This window comes from Homo sapiens, chromosome 4 (assembly GCF_000001405.40).
Source record: "Homo sapiens chromosome 4, GRCh38.p14 Primary Assembly".
Lineage (NCBI taxonomy): Eukaryota > Metazoa > Chordata > Mammalia > Primates > Hominidae > Homo > Homo sapiens.
The window spans coordinates 13,457,448-13,480,583 of NC_000004.12; the positions used below are offsets into that span (position 1 = coordinate 13,457,448).

General features: G+C 33.3%; 1 protein-coding gene across 3 annotated transcripts in view; it reads right to left on the reverse strand.

The window, feature by feature from the left end:
• The window catches only part of RAB28 (RAB28, member RAS oncogene family), a 116,617-nt gene that overhangs the window by 89,724 nt on the left and 3,757 nt on the right, over positions 1 to 23,136 (reverse strand). For all 3 annotated transcript variants that reach the window (NM_001017979.3, NM_004249.4, NM_001159601.2), the window contains exons 2-4: positions 21,983 to 22,079; positions 16,871 to 16,959; positions 3,252 to 3,381 (exon numbers count right to left, since the gene is read on the reverse strand). In NM_001017979.3, coding sequence (NP_001017979.1) covers positions 3,252 to 3,381; positions 16,871 to 16,959; positions 21,983 to 22,079 — 316 coding nt within the window. The remainder of the gene's footprint in view (positions 1 to 3,251; positions 3,382 to 16,870; positions 16,960 to 21,982; positions 22,080 to 23,136) is intronic.

Consider the following 23,136-nt stretch of genomic DNA (forward strand, 5'->3'; position numbering starts at 1 on the left):
TGTAGTAAATAATATTCAGGAAAATATTTATCTATAATCTCTTTATCTTACATATATAACATTCTGTGTGACTGCATACACTAATATATAATCTCATACTGAAAGAGTGTATTATAAATACATACAAAGGGGTTATAGCTATGCCAAAAGTAAAAAAAGAAAAAAGAAAAAAAAAAACCTCTTGTCTTTTATGCTATTAAATCTCCAACATAACACTGTATTAATTTCTTGCATAAATTCAAATAACTTGTACAAATATTTGTTTTTAAAACATGGGCATGCCACCACCAGTCCAGTCCAATAGCCCATCTACTCTAACAGCCTGTCTTTGACAGTGACCAATGATGGATGCCTCACAGGATAGCATACATATAACATAATGTATATAATTATGTACCACTACACATTATCCCTAGTGGTAGTTAGATTATATCCTGAAAAAAATTAAAACAAATCATAACGCCTCTCCCACAAACACTCTATAATTTCTCATAAGGTAATGCAAAACCTCCAATAAAGCACATACTTAACCATAATATAAGCCAACGCTTTGTATGACAACTAAAATGAGAAGCTGAACCCAGAAACAGAACGTAAGCTCATCAAAACATGATTTGTCAAAGGGGGATTTTCAATGAACTGAAAAGCATCTGATTCACTCAATTAAAAAGAATCATTTGCAAAACAAATGAGCAAAATTTAACTAAAGCTTTTAAAAAAGCAAACTACAATTTCTACCCAAGCCATAACATTTTATGATATGTAATACCATTTTCCAGAGTGTATGATAGTATGACAATGCCTGTATTTTTAACTCCTCAGAGAAATGACATTCACACCTGTGTCATCATGGTTTTAAATTAAGCTTGAACTTATTAAATACTCATCTAGTGTGCAAAGCCACATAATGCAAAAATCTTGGTTTGGTCTTTCAGGAAGCACTGCTTCCTAAACAATTACAGAGAAAAAAAAATGTACTACATTTTTAAAGACCTTTGGAAAAGATAATTCTCTTGGTAATGTATGTAGGTATTGATTTAACAACTCTTGTTGTCAGGAAATAATACCTGACCTAAATCTTCCATGGTAAAATCTGAAATCATTTTCTCTTTTTCTGACCTCAAATAAGTTAGAAAACAACGAATCATATAATATTTCACATACATTCATGTGTTGCATAACAATGTTTCTATCAACAACGGGCTACATATATGATGGTGGTCCCATAAGATTATAATGGAGCTTTTATACCGTATTTTTACTGTACCTTTTCTATGCTTAGACAGATAAATACTCACCATTGTGTTATAACTGCCTACAGTATGGGAACATGCTATACAAGTTTGTAGCCTAGGAGCAATAGGCTGTGCCATATAGCTTAGGTGTGTAGTTGGCCATACCATATAGGTTTGTGTAAATACACTCTATGTGATGGTAAATATTAAGTGTCAACTTGATTGGCGTGAAGGATGCAAAGTATTGTTCCTGCATGTGTCAGTGAGGGTGTTGCCAAAGGAGATTAACATTTGAGTCAGTGGACTGGGAGAGGCAGACTCACCCTCAATCTGGGTGGGCACTCTCTAATCAACTGCCAGTATGGCTAGAATAAAGCAGATTTGCTGAGTCTTCCGGCCTCCATCTTTTTCCTGTGCTGGATGCTTCCTGCCCTCGAACATGAAACTCCAAGTTCTGTGGCTTTTGGACTGTTGGACTTACACTGGTGGTTTGCCAGCGGCTCTCAGGTCTTCAGCCACAGACTGAAGGCTGCACTGTTGGCTTCCCTACTTTTGAGGTTTTGGGACTCGGACTGATCCACTACTGGTTTCCTTGCACTTCAACTTGCAGATGGCCTATCGTGGGACTTTACCTTGTGATCATGTGAGTCAATTCTCCTTAATAAACTCCCTTTCATATATACATCTATCCTATTAGTTCTGCCCCTCTACAGAACCCTAATATATACTCTATAACGTTCACACAATGAAACTGCCTAACAATACACTTCTTAGAACATATCCTGTTGTTAAACAACACATGACTATATTTGAAAACCTTTATTAATGTCTCTTTTTCTAAGTCACTGCATTGCAGAACTAGGAACCAAAAACCAGTCATGTACTGAGTTCAGTTTTATAATTTTTCTCTGCTATCTATCATTTGAGACAGGTCTCAAAATTACTAACAAACCCATAATTTTTACCAAGAACCACTCTTCTCCCTAGTACACTCTTTCTCAAAAAAAAAAAATTATATTTCAGAAAAAAAACAAAAATTTAGAAGAGGAAGTTTATAAGAGACAGGAGCAAGAAACAATGCATATAAAATTCCAATGTAGACACTTCTTTCTTCCCTAAAATAGGAGATCATTCAATGAAATGCATCGCTCAAAACCTCTGGGACAGAGCTGAAACTGCAATGCAATATCATAAAATCTGCAGCTGTGTTGCTGTTCTTCATAATCCATGCTGCTTTCCTAGACCACAGGAAGCCAAAACACACACTGTCAGAACTAAACTTACCTTCACAGGAATTGACCAAAGCAGCGGAGCAGTTATAATAGACCACGCATCAAAACAGTTATTGAAAAGATTGTACACACTCTTAGGAATTTTCTACTCAAATAATTTGCTCACTCCAGAAAAGCTGTTTCCAAATATCAAATATTTCTTTGTAGGAATTAAAACTACAGGATAGGCAAATGTCTCAATAAGTCCTCTGTTTGGGCTGCCATAACAAATGGCATAGACTATGGCCTAAACCACAAACATTATTTCTCAAACTTCGGTAAGTAAAGTCCAAGATCAAGGTACTGACGGATTCAGTATCCAGTGAGGGCATTCTTCCTGGTTCGCAGACAGCCACCTTCTTGCCTATCCTCACATGGCAGAGAGAATTATCTCTCTCATGTCTCTTATGAAGGCATTAATCCCATTCTCTTTTTTAATTAAATAGAGACAAGGGTCTCACTATGTTGGCCAGGTTTGTCCGAAACTCCTGGCCTCAAGCAATCCCCCTGCCTTGGCCTCCCAAAGTGCTGGGACTACAAGCATTAGCCACTGCGCCCTGCCAGATGTCATTCTTAAGGGCTCCACTCTCATGACCTAATTACCTCCCAAAACCCCACCTCCAGACACCATCATTTTGGGGATTAGGTCTTTGACATATAAATTGGGGGTGGTGGGGGGACACAAACATTCTGTCCACAACAGCAAGTAAACTGTACCATACATAAACAAGCAGTAATAACTTACTTTTATTGCCTACCAAGGCAACCAGTGGCTGAGTTTCTGACTCCTCGCTCACTTTCTTCACCACAGTATACCAATCTTCTAAATTCTCAAAGCTTTGATAATTTGTAATATCATATACCAAGAGGACTCCCTGTCACAAAAGAGTTACAAAATATCTGTAATGTATTATTTGGTGAAAAAATCTTAATGAATACTTGCGTAATGCTTCAGATATGTCAAAATGGGTATAAAAATACAAATGTGTAGTGTTTTATATATAAACTTCCATTTAAATTGCTTACTAGCAGATTGATAATACTGAATGTTTTCATTCAAGATAAATCCAGCAACTAAGATGCAATGCAAGCTAAAACATAATGTTATCAAAATTGTAAGTGGTCTTCCAATAAGATATCTGGAATATGCTTGGTAAGTTACAGTAAATATAAGAAAATCATATCAAAGAAGTAGAAAAGGCTACAACATCTACAATCCTACCTCTCACTTTCATGAGGTCAAGCATTTAAACCTTTCAATAAATAATCATCTGCTGCTACTCTTTTTAAATATTTTCAAAAACAGAGATTCCATGATATCCCTTGATAGACAATTTAAGTGTTTAACACAATTTTCTTTAAATGAAATGTCGATTTCCTCTTTTAGTCCACTGTGCATTTGGAGAACTTGAGAGTATCTTTCTTAAACTAACCCTTCATATACTTGAGCAGAGTTAAGTAACTCCTTTACCATCTCCTTTCCAGAGTAAACAAACTCAGTTCCTTAAACTTGCCTCGAAGGGCCTATTTTTCTATCCCTTTAATCATAGTTGTTGATTCTTCCCAGGACACACTACATATAGTTTTTTGACATCCTCTTTAAAATAAGCAATGTAAAACTGGACGTAATACTGTACTAAGAGTCTCAGCAATGCCAAATACAACAGAAGGATTGCTTCCTGCCTCTTATATATCATATTCCTTTTAATTTATCTCATTATTTTGTGTGGGAAGGAGAAGTATATATGCACACAGAAATAACTACCACATTCTTGATTCTCATCCAGTTTGTGGTCAAACACTTAATACAAAGCTCTACATACAGTATAAGCCCGGACCCTAATGGCATTTATGTCGACTTCTTAGGTTGTAACAGTAGTAATCAACTACTTTTGTGCACCTATTGTATACCAGACACACGTCAAGGTCTCCTCATTAATCCTCACACCAATCATGAAAGGCTGGTATTATTATTCCCATTTTAAACAATAAACAGAGGTTAAAATAACCAAGGTCATACTGATAGGTAAGTGATGGAGCCAGTATTTGAACCAAAGACTAAATAATTAAAAACATTTGTCTGTCAACTAAACTCCAAGCATTGTGCTGGATTCCTACGGATTTAAGTTCCAAACCATAAGGAACTCACAGTCTTGCAGCAAAACTAAACACACAAACAAGTATAGAACACAGTAGTCATAACTAGTGAGACACTGGTAAATATTAATCAATTGGCTTGGGGTTCAGGGCCCAGCAGGGGTGACAGTTTGCCGTAATCTTTGCCAATTTTCATGGTGTAAATGCTAGCCTGCGGTCATTTTTAAGCTATCAATGTGATACCACTGAACAGAGTTGGGGAGGTCACCATTATAAAACATTTCCACCATATAGATACAGCAGATGTAAACAACCTTGAGAACACAGATAACAGAAATACATAGTAAAATAATTAGTGATAGAGATTAGGCATATAATACCTTTGTTTTAATATAATGTGTGACTTTATACATAATTTTTCATTGTAAAAGTTTTTAATAACTGGCTCACAAAAACTGCTAAAAATTTAACAATTAACTCTCTGAAGCTAGAGCAAGCCAGCCCTAGCATACTTCTGTTATGACCTTCCAGGATTATTATTCTCGTTTATTAAACCATATTGGTCCCCAAGTTACCTAGCTTCTCCAGGTCTCAGGTTTCTTATCTCTAAAATTCGATATTTGAGTTAGATGGTCTCTAAGATCCCTTTCGCTTTAAATATTCTATAATATACAAAATCACTCGTCTGGTTCATTTTGGTCACTTGAACATCTGTCTGTCTTCCAAGACGCTTTGAAATAATGCCCAACACAGAATTATCTAAAACAAAGAGTATCTCACTTTCTTATTAAGAATAAAGCCCCAGAACTGATATCTGAAGAAGATTAATCTTCAAGCTACTGGCCCCACCTCCAACTGCCATGGGTGATATATTATTTGTTGAAAAGAGCTCTACGCTGGAACTCAGGTTGCTGTTGGATTCCAGTCCTGACCCCATCTATTGATCTTGGGCAACATTCGTTACCTCACTTTTAAAATACCTGATATGCCTACATTATAAAGTGAAATAACAAAAGTACTTATTTTAAAATTAACATACCACATGCAATTGTAGATTTTTCTTGTTATCATACTAAGTGAACAAGAATCACATTTTCATGGCAACTTTGAGGTAGGTTTTAAACTCACAAATAAAGCCTAGGCCTATGCCTCTTAAGACTTTTTGAACCCTTCTGATTAATATATGAAAACCTTTATCCCAACATGGGACAACACCTGAATATGGTAAAATATATGCAAATAAAACATGGCCACCATCTACTGATAATCAGTACAGGATGAGAGATATGGAACAAACATTAAAAACTGTTGTTCTAGACCACAAATTGGTAAACTATGGCCCATGGGTCAAATCTGGCCCACACTGTGTATCTGTAGATAAACTTTTACTGAAATATAGTCACAATCATTTGTTTAAGTATTATCAATGGCTGCTTTTGTGCTACAACTGCAGAGCTGAGTGGCTACAACAGAGACAACATGGCCTGCAAAGCATAAAATATTTACTATCTAGCTCTTTTCAGGAAAAATCTGCCAATCTCTGGTCTAGACAAATGTGTCCCAACATTTTTCAGTTGGTGATTCCTAGAAATCTTCCAGGATTCACAAAAAAATATAGAAGGATAAACTCCTGTTCACTCACCTAGCTATCTAGCAACACAAACATCTCCCTGTTCATATTATCAGTACCATTTATAATGTAAAAACTATTATTTTTCCTTGTTCTTGCCATCATAATTAGTACCACTGTGGTGAAATTCTGAGACGAAAAAGTGAGAAAACTAAAAATATTAAAATATAAAAGGAATTATAGGACCTTCACTTTCAGCTCTGACATGTAAAAAAAAACCATGAAAGTCATCACTCCTGACCTTACAATAAGAAAAAGGCAGAACAAACTGAAAAATCAGTGACTTTTCTTGGACTGATCAGAAAACTGATATTGCAAGGCAAATCATCACCCTGAAATCTGGAGAGACAAACAAATCCAAAAAGTTACAGCCAAGATCTGCCTACCTGGAGTAGCAGCCACTAGTAACAGTAATGATAATTTTGACGAACTGCTGGAGGCTGACTGAGGTTTAGCTTAAGAGTGAGGAACTCCTAGGGGCCCCCTCAGTCTTAGGGGCTACCTCCACACTTGCATGGATATACCACCAGATTCCAGATATCCCACCAGATTATCAGTAAAGAGCCAAGAAAGATCCTCTCAAGGCTCTGGCATGAAGAGAGGAAAAAAGTAACCATTGTGAAATATGCCCAGAGCATTATCCATAAAAAAGGCATACTCTGCAGAATAAATGGCTTAATCAGAACATTGTATTCCATCTGGAAAGGGAAGTTCCCAACTCCAGCCCCCTGTAGCCGGTCTGTCTCATCTAACTGGGAGGAGCAAAGAAACACTAGTGAAGGTCACAGTCCCGAAATACAAGCCCACTAAAGACTAAAACTTTATCATAAGAATATAGTATGCTTCTCCTCCCCCATACTTTACCACAACACTACCAGGGCACCAACATCTGAAAGAGCTGCAAGACAGATTTCACCTAAAGAGTTCTTGGAGACACCAAAAAAGACTGTGAGGCAAAAACAAGGATGCTAGAGGAATCAATGCCTCTGGCACCCACAGCTAAAGTAAACACTAAATGCAGCACAGTGTAAAGCCTCACACTAAAATTCTATTTACCTGAATCTTATTACTCAGTATATCATGTCCAGCTTTCAATACAAAATTACAAGGAATTTCAAAAGGTAATTTGAAGAAAGAAAGCAAGCATCAGAACAAGACTCAGATATGAAACAGATTTTGTAATTACTAGACAGGCAATTTTAAGTAACTATGACTAATATGTTGAGGGTTCTAAAGGAAAAAGAAAACAACATGCAAGCACAGATAGGGATAATAAAACAAGGGATAATAAAAACAAAATGCTAGATATCAAAAACACTATAACAGAAATAAAGAATGCCATTGTTGGGTACATTGCTGGACACGGCATAGGAAAAAAACTCACTGAGCTTAAAGACAGGATAATAGAAACTTCTACAACTGAAATGCAAAAAGAAAAAAACAACGAATAAAACAGAACATTAAAGAACAGTGGGACAGTCCCAAGTAGGTACATCATACGCACAGCTGAAATATCAGAAGAAGAGAGAATCAAGTTTAGGAAGTATTTGAAGTAACAGTCACTAAGAAACTGCCAAAATTAATTAGACACCAAACCACATATTTAAGAATCTCAGAGAACACCAATTTGGATAAATACCAAAAACTCTATACCTAGGCATATATTCAAATTGCTCAAAAGAAAAAAAAAACAGAGAAATCTTGAAAGAAGCTAGAAGAATAGGGAAAATATCCTATCTATAAATGAAAAAGCATAAAAATTACAGAGAATAGCTCATCAGAAACCATGCAAATAAGAAGAGAACAAAGTGAAATTTTAAAGTACTGACAGAAAATTTAAAAAAAAAACTACCTAGAATTCTATACCCATAAAAATTATCAAAAGTAAAGGAGAAATAAAGATCTTCTCAGAAAAACAAAAGTTGAGAGCATTCATTGTCAGCAAACCTGCTCTGAAGGAAATATTAAAAGAGGTTATTCAGGGAGAAGGAAAATGATATGGGTCAGAAACTAAACTCTACATAGGAAAAAAATGAGTACCATGAAAAAGCTCAAATAACCAAGGCAATCATGAACACACACACACACACACACACACACACACACACAGCTGCAGGCATCATACTACTTGATTTGAAACTATACTACAAAGCTATAGTAATTACAACAGCATGGTACCGGCAAAAAATAGACACATTAACCAACAGAACATAATTAGAGAGTCCAGAAATGAGCCATACATGTACAGTCAATTGATTTTTCAACAACAGAGCCAGAAATACACAATGGAAAAAGGATAGCCTCTTCAATAAATGGTTTTGGGAAAACTAGATATCCACATGCAGAACAAAATTGGACCCTTATCTCACAACATATACAAAAACCAACTCGAAATTGATTAACAATTTCAAAGTAAGAACAGAAACTACAAAATTACTACAAGAAAATGTATGGAGGAAAACTACAAAATATTGGTCTGGGCAATAATTTTTTGAATTTGACTCCAAAACCACAGACAACAAAAGCAATAAGCAAAGAGGAAAACTAAAAAGCTTCTGTGCAGCAAAGGAGGAAAAAATTAACAGTGTGCAGAGACAACCTACAAATTAAAATATTTTCAAGTCATACATCCAATAAGGGGTTAACATCCAAAATATACGAGGAACTCAAACAACTCCAAAGCAAAACAAAAAACTAAATTTAAAAATTGGCAAGAGACCCATAAAGACATTACTCAGAAGACAAATGGCTAACAGATATATTTTTTAAATGCTGAACATCATCAGAGAAATGCAAATTAAAAGCAAAATAAATTACCCTCTTATACCTGTCAGAATGGCTATTATCAAAAAGATGAAAGATAACAAGTATCAGTGAGAATATAGAGAAAAGGGACCTCTGTACACTCTCAGTGAAAATGTAAATAAGAATGCCATTATGGGAAACTGTATGGAGGTTCCTCAAAAAAACTAAGAATATGATCCAGCAATCCTACTTCTGTGTATTTACCCAAAGATTTGAAATCAGTTTGTCAAAGAGGTTTTTGCACTCCCATGTTTGTTGCAGCACTGTCACAATAGCCAAGCTATGTAATAAACCTAAGTGTCCATCAACAGATGAATGGATAAAGAAAATGATGTATATATGCATAACGGAATACCATAAACCTAAAAAAAGGAAAAGTCTCTCATTTGCAACAGCATGAATGGAATTGGAAAACATTAAGCTAAGTGAAATGAGCCAGGCACAAAAAGACAAATGTTGCATGTTCTCACTTATGTGAAATCTGAAGTAATCAAACTCACAGAAGTAGGGAGTAGACTGGTGGTTGCAGAGACTAGGGGTTGGGGGAAATGGGGAAATAGTCAAAGGGTACAAAATCTCAGGAGATATAAAGATTTTTTTTTGAGAACTATTGCACAGTGTGGTTAAAACAGTTAATAATTATTATGTATCATACATTTCAAAATTGCTAAAAGACTAAATTTCAAATGTTCTCAACATAAAAAAGTTATAAGTACTTGAGATAATGAATATGCTAATTGGCTTGAATTAATTATTTCACATTGTATTGATAAATCATAACATCACTCTGTACTCCATAAATATAACCGATTATAAACTTCCAGTTTACAATAAAATTTAACATTTTTTAAATAAAATCATACAGGATGAAAAAAAAGTGAGTATCAGAAAAGGAAAAAATGAAGATAACATAATATCAATTATTTTTCTTATTGTTAATTGATATAAAATACAACTGTTTAAAGTAATAATAATGCACTGGATGATTATAGCATATAGATAAGTGAGATGAATGACAGCCATGCCATAAGGGACAAAAAGGATGAACTGAGAATATTCTGAGGGACTTGCACTACACATGAAGCAATACAGTGTCATTTAAACACTAAATTTAGTTAAAAATGTATATTGCAAACTCTAGAACAATCACTAAAAAAATTCTGAAGTATGACTGATATGCTAAAACAGGAGAGAAAATACTCAAATAAAACCAGAGAAAGCAGAAAAAGAGGGGATAAGAAACAAAGAACATGTGCAAAGAATAGAAAACAAACATGACAGATGTTAACCCAGCTATATCAATAAACACTTTGTATGTGAATTTAATACACAAATTAAAAGACATATTGTCAAAGGAGATGAGAAAACAAGACTTGACTGTATATTGCCTACGGAAAACTGACCTTACATATAAAGACACAAACAGGTTAATAGTAAAGGGATAGAAAAATAGCATGAAAACATTAATGAAAAGAAAGCTGGAGTAGCTATATAATTTGAGACAAAGCAGACTTCAGAATAAGGAAAATTAACAAGTTTAAAGACTGGCATAATAAGTCAGTCCTCCAAGAAGACATAACAATCCTCTCTATATATGCACCTAATAAGAGGGCATCAAAATATATGAGGCCAAAACTGACAGAACTGCAAGGAGTTCCAAATCTGCAGATCCCCCTAGAGTTGAAGACTTTTTTCATTAAGCAAACAGAAAATCAGTAAGGGTACAGTTGATCTGAACAACACTAACAATCAACTTCATCTAATTGACATTTATAGACTACGGTATTCATTAGAATACGTACTATTCCCTAGCTCTCACGGTACATTCACCAAGATAAACTACATTCTGGGCCATAAAATATACCTTAATATGTTTGTAAAAACAGAAATCACACAAACCACATTCTCAAACTATAACCAGAAATCAGTAACAGTAAAATAGCTTTAAAAACTCAAAGTATGTGAAGATTAAACAACATATTCTAAATAACACAAGCATCAAAGAAGTCTCAAAAATAATTTTAAAATAGTTTGAACCAAAAAAAAAACATATGCAACCTACCAAAACTTGTGGAATACAGCAAAAGCAGTGCTTAGGGAAAGTGTTTAGCATTGAATGCATATATTAGAAAAGCAAAAAAATCAATAATCTAAGCTTCCACTGTAGGAAACTAGAGGAAGAAGAGTAATTTCAGTCAAAAGCGAGTAGAAGAAAGTAATTAAAAATTAGGGAAGAAATCACTGAAATTAAAGAAGAAAACAACAGAGAAAATCAACAAAGCCAAAAGCTGTTTTTTTTTTAAAAAAAAAAGATCAATAAAATTGACAAACCTCTAGTCAGGCTAACCAAAAACAAAGGGAGGGAGAGAGAAGACACATATTAACAACAGTAATTAATATGGGTTTTCACTACCGATCCCATAGACATTAAAAAGATAATATAAACAACTTTGTGACCACAAATTTGACAATATAAATAAAATGGACCAAATCTTTAAAAGACACACATTACCAAAACTATTGACTCTCAGGGCCTCTACTCACCAGCCTCAAAGCCAGACCTCTAAGTACTCACCTCTTCAGGAGCCATAATACAAGCACCCTCAAATCCCTAAGTTTCTGACCACGTCAATCAACCCAGAACTCTTCTGATCCCTTCCAGAAAACTACTGGAATCTTCCAAGCCACAAGAAAGTAAAACTTCCTCAAACATGGAATATATCTTGAAATCTACTTGGGAACTCCTGGATCTAATTTTCTTGGCAATCTTATGGTCATCTAAATCCATCACCATGTCTCATGTCCCAGATAACTTTTGTTATCAACCACATATCTGACATTTATCTCTCTCCTATGTCTTCATGTCTTCATCCCCATACCATCCTTTCCTTCCACTTCTCAATTTACGTTCCAGCTGCTGTTCTTCTTCCCAAATCTTTTACATGACCTTTGGAAATCAGATTTCAAGTTTAATAAATCCCTCTTCAACAATAGTTTCCTTCATTTTATGCCTTAACTGCCTTCCTCCAACTTCAGTTCCAAGAAAATACTACCATCCGTAGTATTTTGTAAACTTCAAGATTTTTAGTAAGTATTATATAATGTTAGTTTATATAGTACTTCGTTTTCATCTATTTCACTTACTACCATATCTAATAAGCATGATGAGTGAGTAAATCAAATGGATACCATTTTCAAGGTAATAATCGACAGCAATTTTCTTTTTTAAGAGATGGGGTCTTGCTCTGTTCCCCAGGCTGGAACGCAGTCATGGCTCACTGCAGCCTCAAACTCCTGGACTCAAATAATCCTCCCATCTCAGCCTCTCTAGTAGCTAGGACTACAGGCATGTACCACAGTGCCCAGCTAATTTTTTAAATTTTTTTGTAGAGAAAGGGTCTCACTATGTTGCTGAGGCTGGTCTCATGCTCCTAACTTCAAGCAATTGGCCTACCTTGGCCCTCTAAAGCACTGGGATTACAGGAATGACCCAATGGCCTGGACTTGACAGAAGTTTTGAAAGAACAAACACTGGTGCCTACCAAGTAACAGTCTTGTAAAGCATTGCATAGATAATAGTTCGTCAGTGTAACACGTACTAAATAAACACAGTACACACACTATTTAACCTTCTCAAAAAATGAAAGGTTCTCCCATTCCCAAAATGCAGGTTATTTGTTTTCTCTCTAATACGCAAGACAAATAATCTGCTTTAGTTATTTAGTTACATATAGAAATGAATTAAATCATACAGATTATATAATAGCCATAACAACATAGATCTTGCTTTATAAGTATAACCCGTAAGAAACACTAACACAAAGAAAGTCTACAAACATAATCAGTTATAAGTTGGCAAATATCCAACTAAAAAACTTACAGTAAAAGAGAGCAGAAGGTCTTGGAGAGTCCAGTTTTGAGATGCACTCTCTCCATAGCTGTCATGTAGGCACCAAATCCTTTCATTGGTACTTAAAAAGTAGGCTCATCTGTGTGGGGCCACTGGCACACAATAGTAGTTATGTTCTACCTCACAAGTGACTACACTTCATTGAGTTTATGCTCAGTGGGTCAGTGTTTGCAAACCACTTAGATTCCAGGACAGAAAGAGCTACAAAAATGAAACATCCAGTCCTTCTCTGAGGTTTGTTATTAGCCTCTGTTAGCCACAGGTTACAGGGCACTAAACACTATGTACTGTGTGTTTGCTCCTAACCACTATGAAAAATCCCCTATAACATCTTTCTAAAGACTCCTAGAAATTTTTAAGTTAATTTAAAATCTGGGAATTTAACTGGGACATATTTCAATTCTTAGAACTAGTTCTTGTCAAAATACCTCACTAATTCTTTTTGGGGTGTCAATTCAATTTAGTTTTCATCAACACTTTCAACAGGCTATTGCTAACATTTAATGTTGCTGGGGGCAAAGGGACTGAAGAGGGTAAAATAATCAGTTTTATTTGGATCCAAGTTAACTCCCAGCCTACATATAAGCTTCTACGCAGATGTTAAGAAATGCTTTAAAGAAACAGATTGACTAGTTTAATGACCCAGACATGTATAATTCTTTCTATACACAATACAGAAGTTAGAGAACCTAAAACAAAACCCTAAATAACACATTAAACTGATATCCTGAAAAAGCTTGTCTCAACATCTCTGAAGATTTCTGTCCTGTAGTATATCAAAATCCAAAGTATTCATGAGATAGGTAATATAAAGCATCTATAACTCCAGAAGCAATACAGATCTACTTTGAAGAATAATTATATGATTATATAAAGATATTGAGCTTATTAAAATGCTATTAGGATGTTTTTGAAAGCACTGGTTTTGAAAAGTAACATTTTCTCCAATTTATAGTAGTAAATAATGAGTCACAGCTTCTCTAGCCTGGATATAGAATTTAAAAATAGTTTAACAAAATAGACCACTGGTCAATGTACTTTATGTACTTAACATAGCATTTATTTGGAATCTCTGGAAAGCAGAAAAAAGTTATTATATTATCATCCTTTTTTTTTCTTCTTTATAAACTGAGTCTCACTCTTTCGCCCAGGCTGGAGTAAAGTGGCATGATCATAGCTCACTCCAGCCCCAAACTCCTGGACTCACGTGATCCTCCCATATCAGTCTCTCAAGTAGCCGGGACTACAGGTGCCTGCCACCATGACCTATCATCTATTTTTGACAATTCATTTCATCATCTCAGAATTCCCAGTTTTGTCAGACAATTTCATAGAAAGATCCATGAATTTCTCAGAAATACTGTACTAAATTATTGTTTAATAAAAACACAGTACATCCTTATAAGAGTCATAGCAATCATTAAGTGTAAACGATAAAATGCACCACCAAAAGAGAAAGAAGTCGATATGTACCTTCAAGACAGAAACTTTATACAAGTTCTAAGAACTATAACATTCACTTTCTCCCAAGAAAAAAAGTACCTTAAAAAATAATGAAGACATTTTACTAAACTTACGGACTTTCAAAAAAGATGGAAATTCTTGAAATTTCTACAAATGTTCTCATTAATGTCTGCTTACTGTAGGCAGCTTTGTAATAACATAAAATATATACTGTCAAAAACTGACTTAAGGAAATGGTCACAAAATATTGTGAGTGTACTAAATGACACCGATTATATACTTTATTTTTTATTTATTTTGTTTTTTAGAGATGGAGTGTCACTTGCCATCTGGACTGAAGTGCAGTAGTGTGATCATAGCTCACTGCAACCTCAAAATCCTGGGCTCAAGTGATCCTCCCACCTGTGCCTCTCAGTTAGCTGAGATTACAGGCATGAGCCACTGCGCCTAGCTGATTATACACTTCAGAATGGTTAACTTTATAATACACAAATTTCACATCAATATTAATTTTTATATAATAGTAATAAATTTTAAATAATTTAAATAAATTAGATAATAAATTTTTAAATGACTTGAAGATAGAATTAACAGAATTCAACACATGGGCATAATACTCCCCTAATTTTTAAGTGAAGAAAAATGTATTAATTGAATTATATATTATTATTTACCCTGAAATGCATAAAGTCCTCCTGTTCTCCACTAACTCTGGTTACACCTATAAATCATAAAAGACTATTCTATTTGACACCAAGAGTCAAATTTCATTAGAAGTTAGATCTAATCTTCATTTTCTTAAAATCATATATGTAGCCTTGAAGACAGATTTTATGGAACAAAGAGAAGAGTGTTATTTTCCCATGTTATCAACCACATGAATGAAACAAGAACTGTGGCTTCCCACAAATCTCTGTCCAGCAAGTTGTCTCTAGCTTAGTATCCACTTTAATCAGTTTAAAACAGAAAATGAATAAATAAATAAATAAAACAAAAAAGCCATACACAAAATTCTGAGATGTACTTTTTAAGAGAAAAATGAACATGCATAAAATATCAAGTCACTTAACCACAGAAGAAAATGCTATAAATGTGAACAGAAAAATTTTGCAGGAGACTAAGAACAATGTATAAAAGATAAGAGCTTTAAGAGCCAAATCTCTGCATCAGCAATGCAAAAAATCAAAACTCTGGGGCCTTTATAAGTGATTCAGAACCATATTAGCCTCTATAGCCATACTGTCCTTCTCCGAATATTTTACAAAATAAATCAGAATCTATTTTTCATCCAAAATCAAGGCAACGGTATTTGACATGAACCAAACTTTGTACAGCAGAGTGCTTAATATACTATATCTCCATCCTATAGAATCATTTATTATGAGCAACATGTTTCCACATAACCAAGTTGTATTTGTCTCACTTAAAATACCAAACTCCAATAAAGAACTAGAAATTTTTACTATTACCCCTAAGTCTCCAGATGATGTAGAAGATACACACTAATTAAAAGTAGAGAAAAAAAGCAAAAATAAAGAAATAGCACATCAAGTATTACATACAGAGCTCAGTAAGCACAACCTACTTAATATTCGGCTATATACCATATTCTCTACTTCATCAGATGATTACTTTCAATGGTATTACTGCATTTCTAAAGTCTGTCATTTAATCAAAAGCAATCTGCCAAATATTAAAAAGACAATTCTTCACTGAACATGCTCAGAGAGAAATGATTAACTTTTAAAGTATATTACTACCCTGCATATTTTCTATTTGTATAATAACTTTATTTAAAATCTTATAAATTATATCAGTATAAGCTCATGGAGAATATAAGCTCATGTTGCGAAATTTATGTAATTATTCAGGTCATTTTTCATTTTCATTTTTCTTGCTCTACATGGATTTTCTTCTGAAAATACAGCATTATCATAGTAAATTATTGTATGTGTTTCACATATACACTGTCATATTTAGTTATCTGATAGAAAATACAGACATGTCTATTAAATCTGAAAAGCTATCAATATTCATTGCACAAAAACATAGACATATAGATATACTTTCAGTCCTTGTAACTTAAAATGAAGTTAAATTTTCATCCCTGTGTTTTTCATTCAGTTTATTTGAAAGCAGTCACTATAACAAAACCAGCTAATACATATCAAAATATCATTTATCACTGCATTTATTGAACTGCTAACAATAACACCTAGTAATGTAAATAACATACGAAAGCTGTTCAGAGTTTTCCTGTTCCCTCACCCAAATCACTCCAAACATAATTAGGAGAGCATGAAACCAAAGAACTAGCACAAATATAAAATTATTCTCTCTACGTATCAGATAAAAAGTTAGAAAGAATGTGTGTGTGTGTGCATTTGGGAGTAGATTTGCATGTGTGCTTGTAAGTGGTATACTTTCAATACTGGAATAATCAGAATTCATATCATACCTGTGCTCCATAGATATATTTATCCAACATTTTGCCTCCTATTGTCTGCCCTCCTATATCCCAAATTTGAAGGGTAACATTCAAGTTTCCTAGAATATAAAAAATGAATATAAAAATAAGAATACCAAAAAAATTAAGTAACAATACAACAAGTGACACAGTATCACAGAATACTAAGTCACAATAAGAAACTCTGAGCCCAATTTGCCTTTATGTGCAGGCTCACATGATATTTGGAATTGCGAAAACAACGTCAAAAGAAATTATAGTGGGGAATCTAGTTTTATCTTTTTACTCCATTTCCATGGAACCATATTTACAATCACCTTCAAAACAAAAGAAAATAAAGTAAGCTTTAATTTGTAAACTTAAGCCTTAGAAAAATGTTTTTCTTAGAGAACAGAATGAAGCACATGTCCATGGAGCAAGAAATATACTTTAAAAATAAAAACTGAAGCTTTATATACTCAACCATCCAATCATACATATGAATTCTGTCGTAGGTTCTAAACTCTATGGCTTCTAAAACTCATGGAATAATAGCAAACTACAAAAATGCACCCATAATTTCAGCTCAAATTAATGAATCTTTTTATAATGTGATTGTCAGCTACTATCGGATATGGCAAACATAGTCAAAAAATTACGTTTTCAAATTTAACCCACAAAATAGAAACGCATTTGATAGCCCTATTCAGAACAAACGTAGGATACATACCATGTATATCACTAAATATTACAATGCTTTCAAACCTGTTCAAAGTATTTCCATTTAAACAAACTATGTATACTTCCAAGCCTTCACAAAATACTGTAACTAATCATCTTCCCCATACAAGCATTGTAAAAGCATTCTAAAAGGCAATCTTTAAAAATCCTTTTGTGCATTTTATAAAATATTTGGTTGATACAAAAATTTATGAGATAAGCTATTCTCCCTTCTCAATGCAACTGATGAGTAAGCTTACAAAAGCCAAACTATGCTTTTTAGTTGAACATTTTAAACTATTCCCCTCATATAATTATGCAGTTTTCTCCAGTTTCAATTAGCACTTTTTGAATGATTTGCAAATCAAAAGAAAATAAAAGATTAGAAACTGAAAAATGATCTCATTTCAAAAAAAGATTATAAAGATATAAATTTATAAGCCAACATAAAATACTAAAATCAGAGAAAGTTAGTCATACCATTTAACTATGCAACTGAAAAGAAAAAGACATTTGATTAACCAGCACAGTTTTCTAAATTTTGGTGGGTTTGTATTACAATCTTTCCATTATTTAAACATAGGTTGTTCCATCTGCCACTGCGCAGAGGATTTCCATGAGGAACTTCCATTAGCATTAATGAGCGCTAATGTTTTATCACCATCATTACCACAGACACACACTTTCAACACTTAGACTAATGACTAAAATGTTCTTAAAGCCCTATGAATATGAAAACCAAAATGTCACAGACTAAGATTTGTCCAAAAACTTGTACAAATCGAATTTCTCAAAAATCTAAATTTTTTGAGATTCAAGGCTGAATTCTTCTATAATGCTGTCTCAAATGAAGCAGATGAGAAAGGGCTAGCCATCACTAAGAAGTATATAAACTAGTTTCAGAAACCCCTAAGCAGGCAGTAGTCTATTCATTTTACTTGCACAACTCTTTAGGGTTATTTGATTACTTCAAAAGACAGTGCTTAACAATACTAACTTTTACAGAGTAAGATTTTAGGCAATACTTAGTAAGTGCTAAAAGGTGTTTAATCCCATTTTTCTCAGAGCCAATGGTCCTTATTGCTTAACCTCACATCAAGAAATATAAAGCTTTTTTAAGTTCTGATATTCAGATCCTATCTGAATTAGGTGTTGTGAACACTTTGACTGTAATTTTAGGAACATGATCTTCATTACATGTTTTCAAATTCTGACTACAATCATATCAAGACCCTAAATCATCTATCTATCCAACTGTCTCCCATCTAAGAGGTTCATAGTCATGTGTTGAGGATACTTTTTAAATGCATGCCTTTCTAAATAAACCCTGTTATCAGTGTTTGCCTGTTTTTTTTAACATACAAATTCCAGTGACTCAGAAATAAAAATAGCTATGAATTACTGATAGTCCACTAATATAGAATGCTAACAAAAAATGACTATCTTTAGTTTCAATAAATGATATTTTAATATTACTTCTTATATCTAGAAATATATTTTTAACTCCACATTTTAATTTTAGGATTATTAACACATAAAACTAAAAATAAAATGTGGATTCCTTATTTGAGGAGCAAAATCCCATGAGGATATGATTCAAATCAATATTCATTTTCATTTTTGCAGGCATAAACATATGAATTCTCCTAGTATATTTTCAAGATGACATACCTATAAAGCTATATAAGAATATTCAAATAATATTATAATTTTGTTTAAATCAAGAATATATCTAATACAAATTTCTAACCAATAAAGAACATTAAGGAAATTGTCAGAAATCTAATCCCAAACACAAAATGCTGCAAAATTCCTGTTCCTCTGTAAGAAATGACATGTAACTAGGAGAAAAAATAAAATAAATGAGGTGACAAAACACAGGTAAGTTGCTTTTGGTATGAATTAAAGCCACCAAGAGGGTTCAACAGTGACCTTGTAAAAGTACACTTGGTGCCTTGGTTAACCTTACTTAAAGTGCTGCATAGTCAAGATGGAACTAAAAACACAAGTCTGCCCACTTCTTGTACTAAAGACTTAGAAATCTTTTTCACAGTAGAACGCTGTTTACTGGACTGTACCCACAAGCTTCCTGAAAGTATTTTGACTAAGGCTCTTAAGAAGCTCTATCAGCAGAATCTCTGACTAACAGATACACTATTTTAAGCAGTAAAATCTGCACAGTGGTTGCATCCAGACTATACAGCATACCGGATCATGAAATATACTAAAATGGATGAGTATTTGCAAAGTAATGATCTTGAAAACTTGCATGAAGAGAATGTAAATAGATGGACAGGAGGTTTACACCCCTAACAATCTAACTGGTCAGAGGACTTACCAGACTAGTAACAAATATTAGATTCACCGACTATGCTATAAATTCAATAAAGCTACCTGTAATGTTTTATTCAGCTAATGATACATTAATCATCCTACATGTGACACTTATAATGAATGTACATTAAAGTATATAAAGGATAATTATAAACCTTGTAATTTATTCACCTCATTTCTTAATATACCTATTAATTATATAAAAACAAAATACATTAAAATATTTTTTCTTATTGAAATTTCTACCATAAGTTTGAGTCTGTTAAGTAGCATAAAACCAACTGCCTTAAAAAAAAAATAGAAGTTTTTTTCTGGAACTTTGCCATCAAAATAAAAACTTAATTAGGAAAATTAAAATATACATTCATTAGTATACATGCCCTAATGTCATTTTTTAACCTAATTACTAAGTCTAAAATATTATACTATAAATCTCGATTTCAAGAATATCAAATATTTTTTACAAAGTAATCAAAATTTTTAAATTGGTAGTGCTGGGCCACAGGTCAGAAATCATCATATCACCTGTATAAAATGTCTGAAAACCAGTCTTTGTTTTTAATATTTGAGTAGGTACTTGTTTATTTAAGCTTTTCAACTAAAAAATGAGAAATAATAAAGTAATGAGACAAGAAGTTGGTGGCTTTTCAAATTAAGCATCAAAACAAAATAGCTAATAATGAAATGCCACATTTGAGATTCTCTGTGTACAACTGGCATCTGTGAAAAAAACTCCTGCAAAAATAAGCTTCCAGCATCTGTATTATGTGATCTGTGTATGTATTCAGCTAGTGACTGCTGTTAAGTATTCTGAATGCAGCATAGATTATCCGTAAGAGTGAGAATAATAAAATTAAAATGACATTTTCAGTTTTGGATACAATAAAAGAAAATACAAATGAAACAAAGTACGCATATGTTTCTCCTTAAACCTCTTGCTGAACAATAACCCAGTAATGGAAAAATTGGAATTCTTTTTTTTCTCATGGGATATCTCCTAATCTATTTTTCACTGGTAGCCAAATACAAACTATCACAAAATATAGCAGAGTATATTACTAAGGAGATAAGAAGAATACCTCCATTACCAAGAGTTTTCATTACCTACTCTAAAACTTTCATGGGGAGTTGTCTGATAGATGGGGTGTCTGAGAGGTTAACATATTTCAATAATAATTGGAATGTATTAAACCCCTTCCCACTGTATCACTCACATTTCAGTACATGAATCTGACATTACACTTGCAACCATTTTCTCCAAATGTGCTTCCTCACAGAGGAGAGAGATGGATGGTTTATAAAGTCAATCAAGATAAACTGCTTTTAATAAAATACTTTAAACATATAATTTAACCATTGAAATTGAAAGGACAGCATTTTAAAGCCCCAATTGTTCAGAAACTAACTTAAAACATAAACCACTCTTTCTTTGTTATTATTTCCCCGTATTTCCCACAAAATGTGCTGCAACTGGCATCTAAATAGTTTCTTTGCATGGTGAAGTGAAACATCTTGAATGCTCAAACTGTATTTTTATGAGTGCCTAGGGACCCTAAATTTTAGTGGTCTATTAAATGCCAGCAATTTCATGCTGCCTTGCATAAAACAGCATTCACATATTAGAGCACAGAAGTTCCATAGCTACATTATACTTCTGTTCCAACTTTAAACAAAAAACTAAAACAGAGGCAAATCAAAATAATATTTTAAAAAATAATCCTTCCCAATCTTTTCACATTTTGTTAATACAATATCTGTTGACAAATGTACAGCACTTAATTTTTTAAAAGCTTTTCACAATTTTATAAGCAACCATTGTTTATCCTCAAAAAATGTATAGTAGCCAAAAACAGGGAAGGAGTGGGAGAGTATATAAACTTTTTCTTATACCCATGGACAATATGCTTTCATGATAGATTGTGATGAAAGTTAACATCCCTAAGATAAATTTACTGTTTATATACATCTTCATGTAGAAGCAGCCCCAAAATTTTACACATTTCTTTCTTATGCCACTTATTGTTAAGATTTTTTTATAATCTTCTACGTTAAGACTTTTTAGTCTCTTACCTGGCAATGTTATCCTTCTCAAAAAGAAATCCAGTCCTATAGTTTGTTTGTACTGTTTCCCAAAAGTTTCTTGAGCAAAACACGTAGTTAAGGAGGTCTAAAAAATTGATGCACAGAATGTCAAAATTAATTCATTAAAGAAATGTAATCATAAGACCACTATAAATCTTAAGCAATCTTAACATGTATATTGCAATTAATCCAACAAGCAAATTTAAGCAGTTCTAATCAGTTACAAGGAGGGGAGAGACTTAACACCACCAGGTAAATTTTACTTGCCAGCAGCTATCGGTAGGGACAACGAACTAATGAGTTAGATCTCTTTAAATCCCCTGCTTGTCAAGATCCTTTTCCTTGCTGAAAATTAGAATTTGAGAGTTATCAACAGAAAAAAAAACTAAAAAATAAATAAATAAAGATCTGAATTATTTTAAAACATAATTAAAGATCTAATCTAACTTAGATCAGCTTCTGAGGTTAAATATTCTGAGGGTAGCTGAGCACTAAGCTAATAATAAGAAGCATTCATTAAGGAGGGAGAAATCTGCTTACAGAATTTTTCTTTTTCCCACAAGAAAAGCACCGTATGTAATTTTTCTTTATTTTTAAAGATGCTAAATGAAAATGACCCTAAAGAAAGACTGTGACAATATGTACCTCTTAAATAAACGTATTTTTAAGATTAATATAAAGCAGACAAAATGAATATTTTCCATCCAAGAACCATAATGCCAAGAAGTCACAAGCTATCATAACCAGAACAGATATACATTTGTTTTTTAATAGAAACTGAAAGTTTTAGTCAAAAACTCTGGAGTTTTCTTTTTAAAGTACCATTTCTTATCAAAGCAAAAGAATAATTATTCTAGTAACAACTGAATAACAATAACTTAACAAATTCTTAAACATTTTAAATGCACTATTTTTATTTATAAACTTCCTCCAAAAAAGAGAAAGGCAACTTCACTAAGCTTTTATGCTCTTCAAGACAGACTCCCTACTTTAAGAGAAAATAGCCGTTTTTTATTTTAAAAGTTAAAATTACATGTCAACTCTTAAAATAATGAAAACTAAGATAAATTTCCAAGATAGCTTATTACAGTTCCTTATGACATAAGCAGTACAATAGTGCAAAAGAAAATTTGGCCAAACTT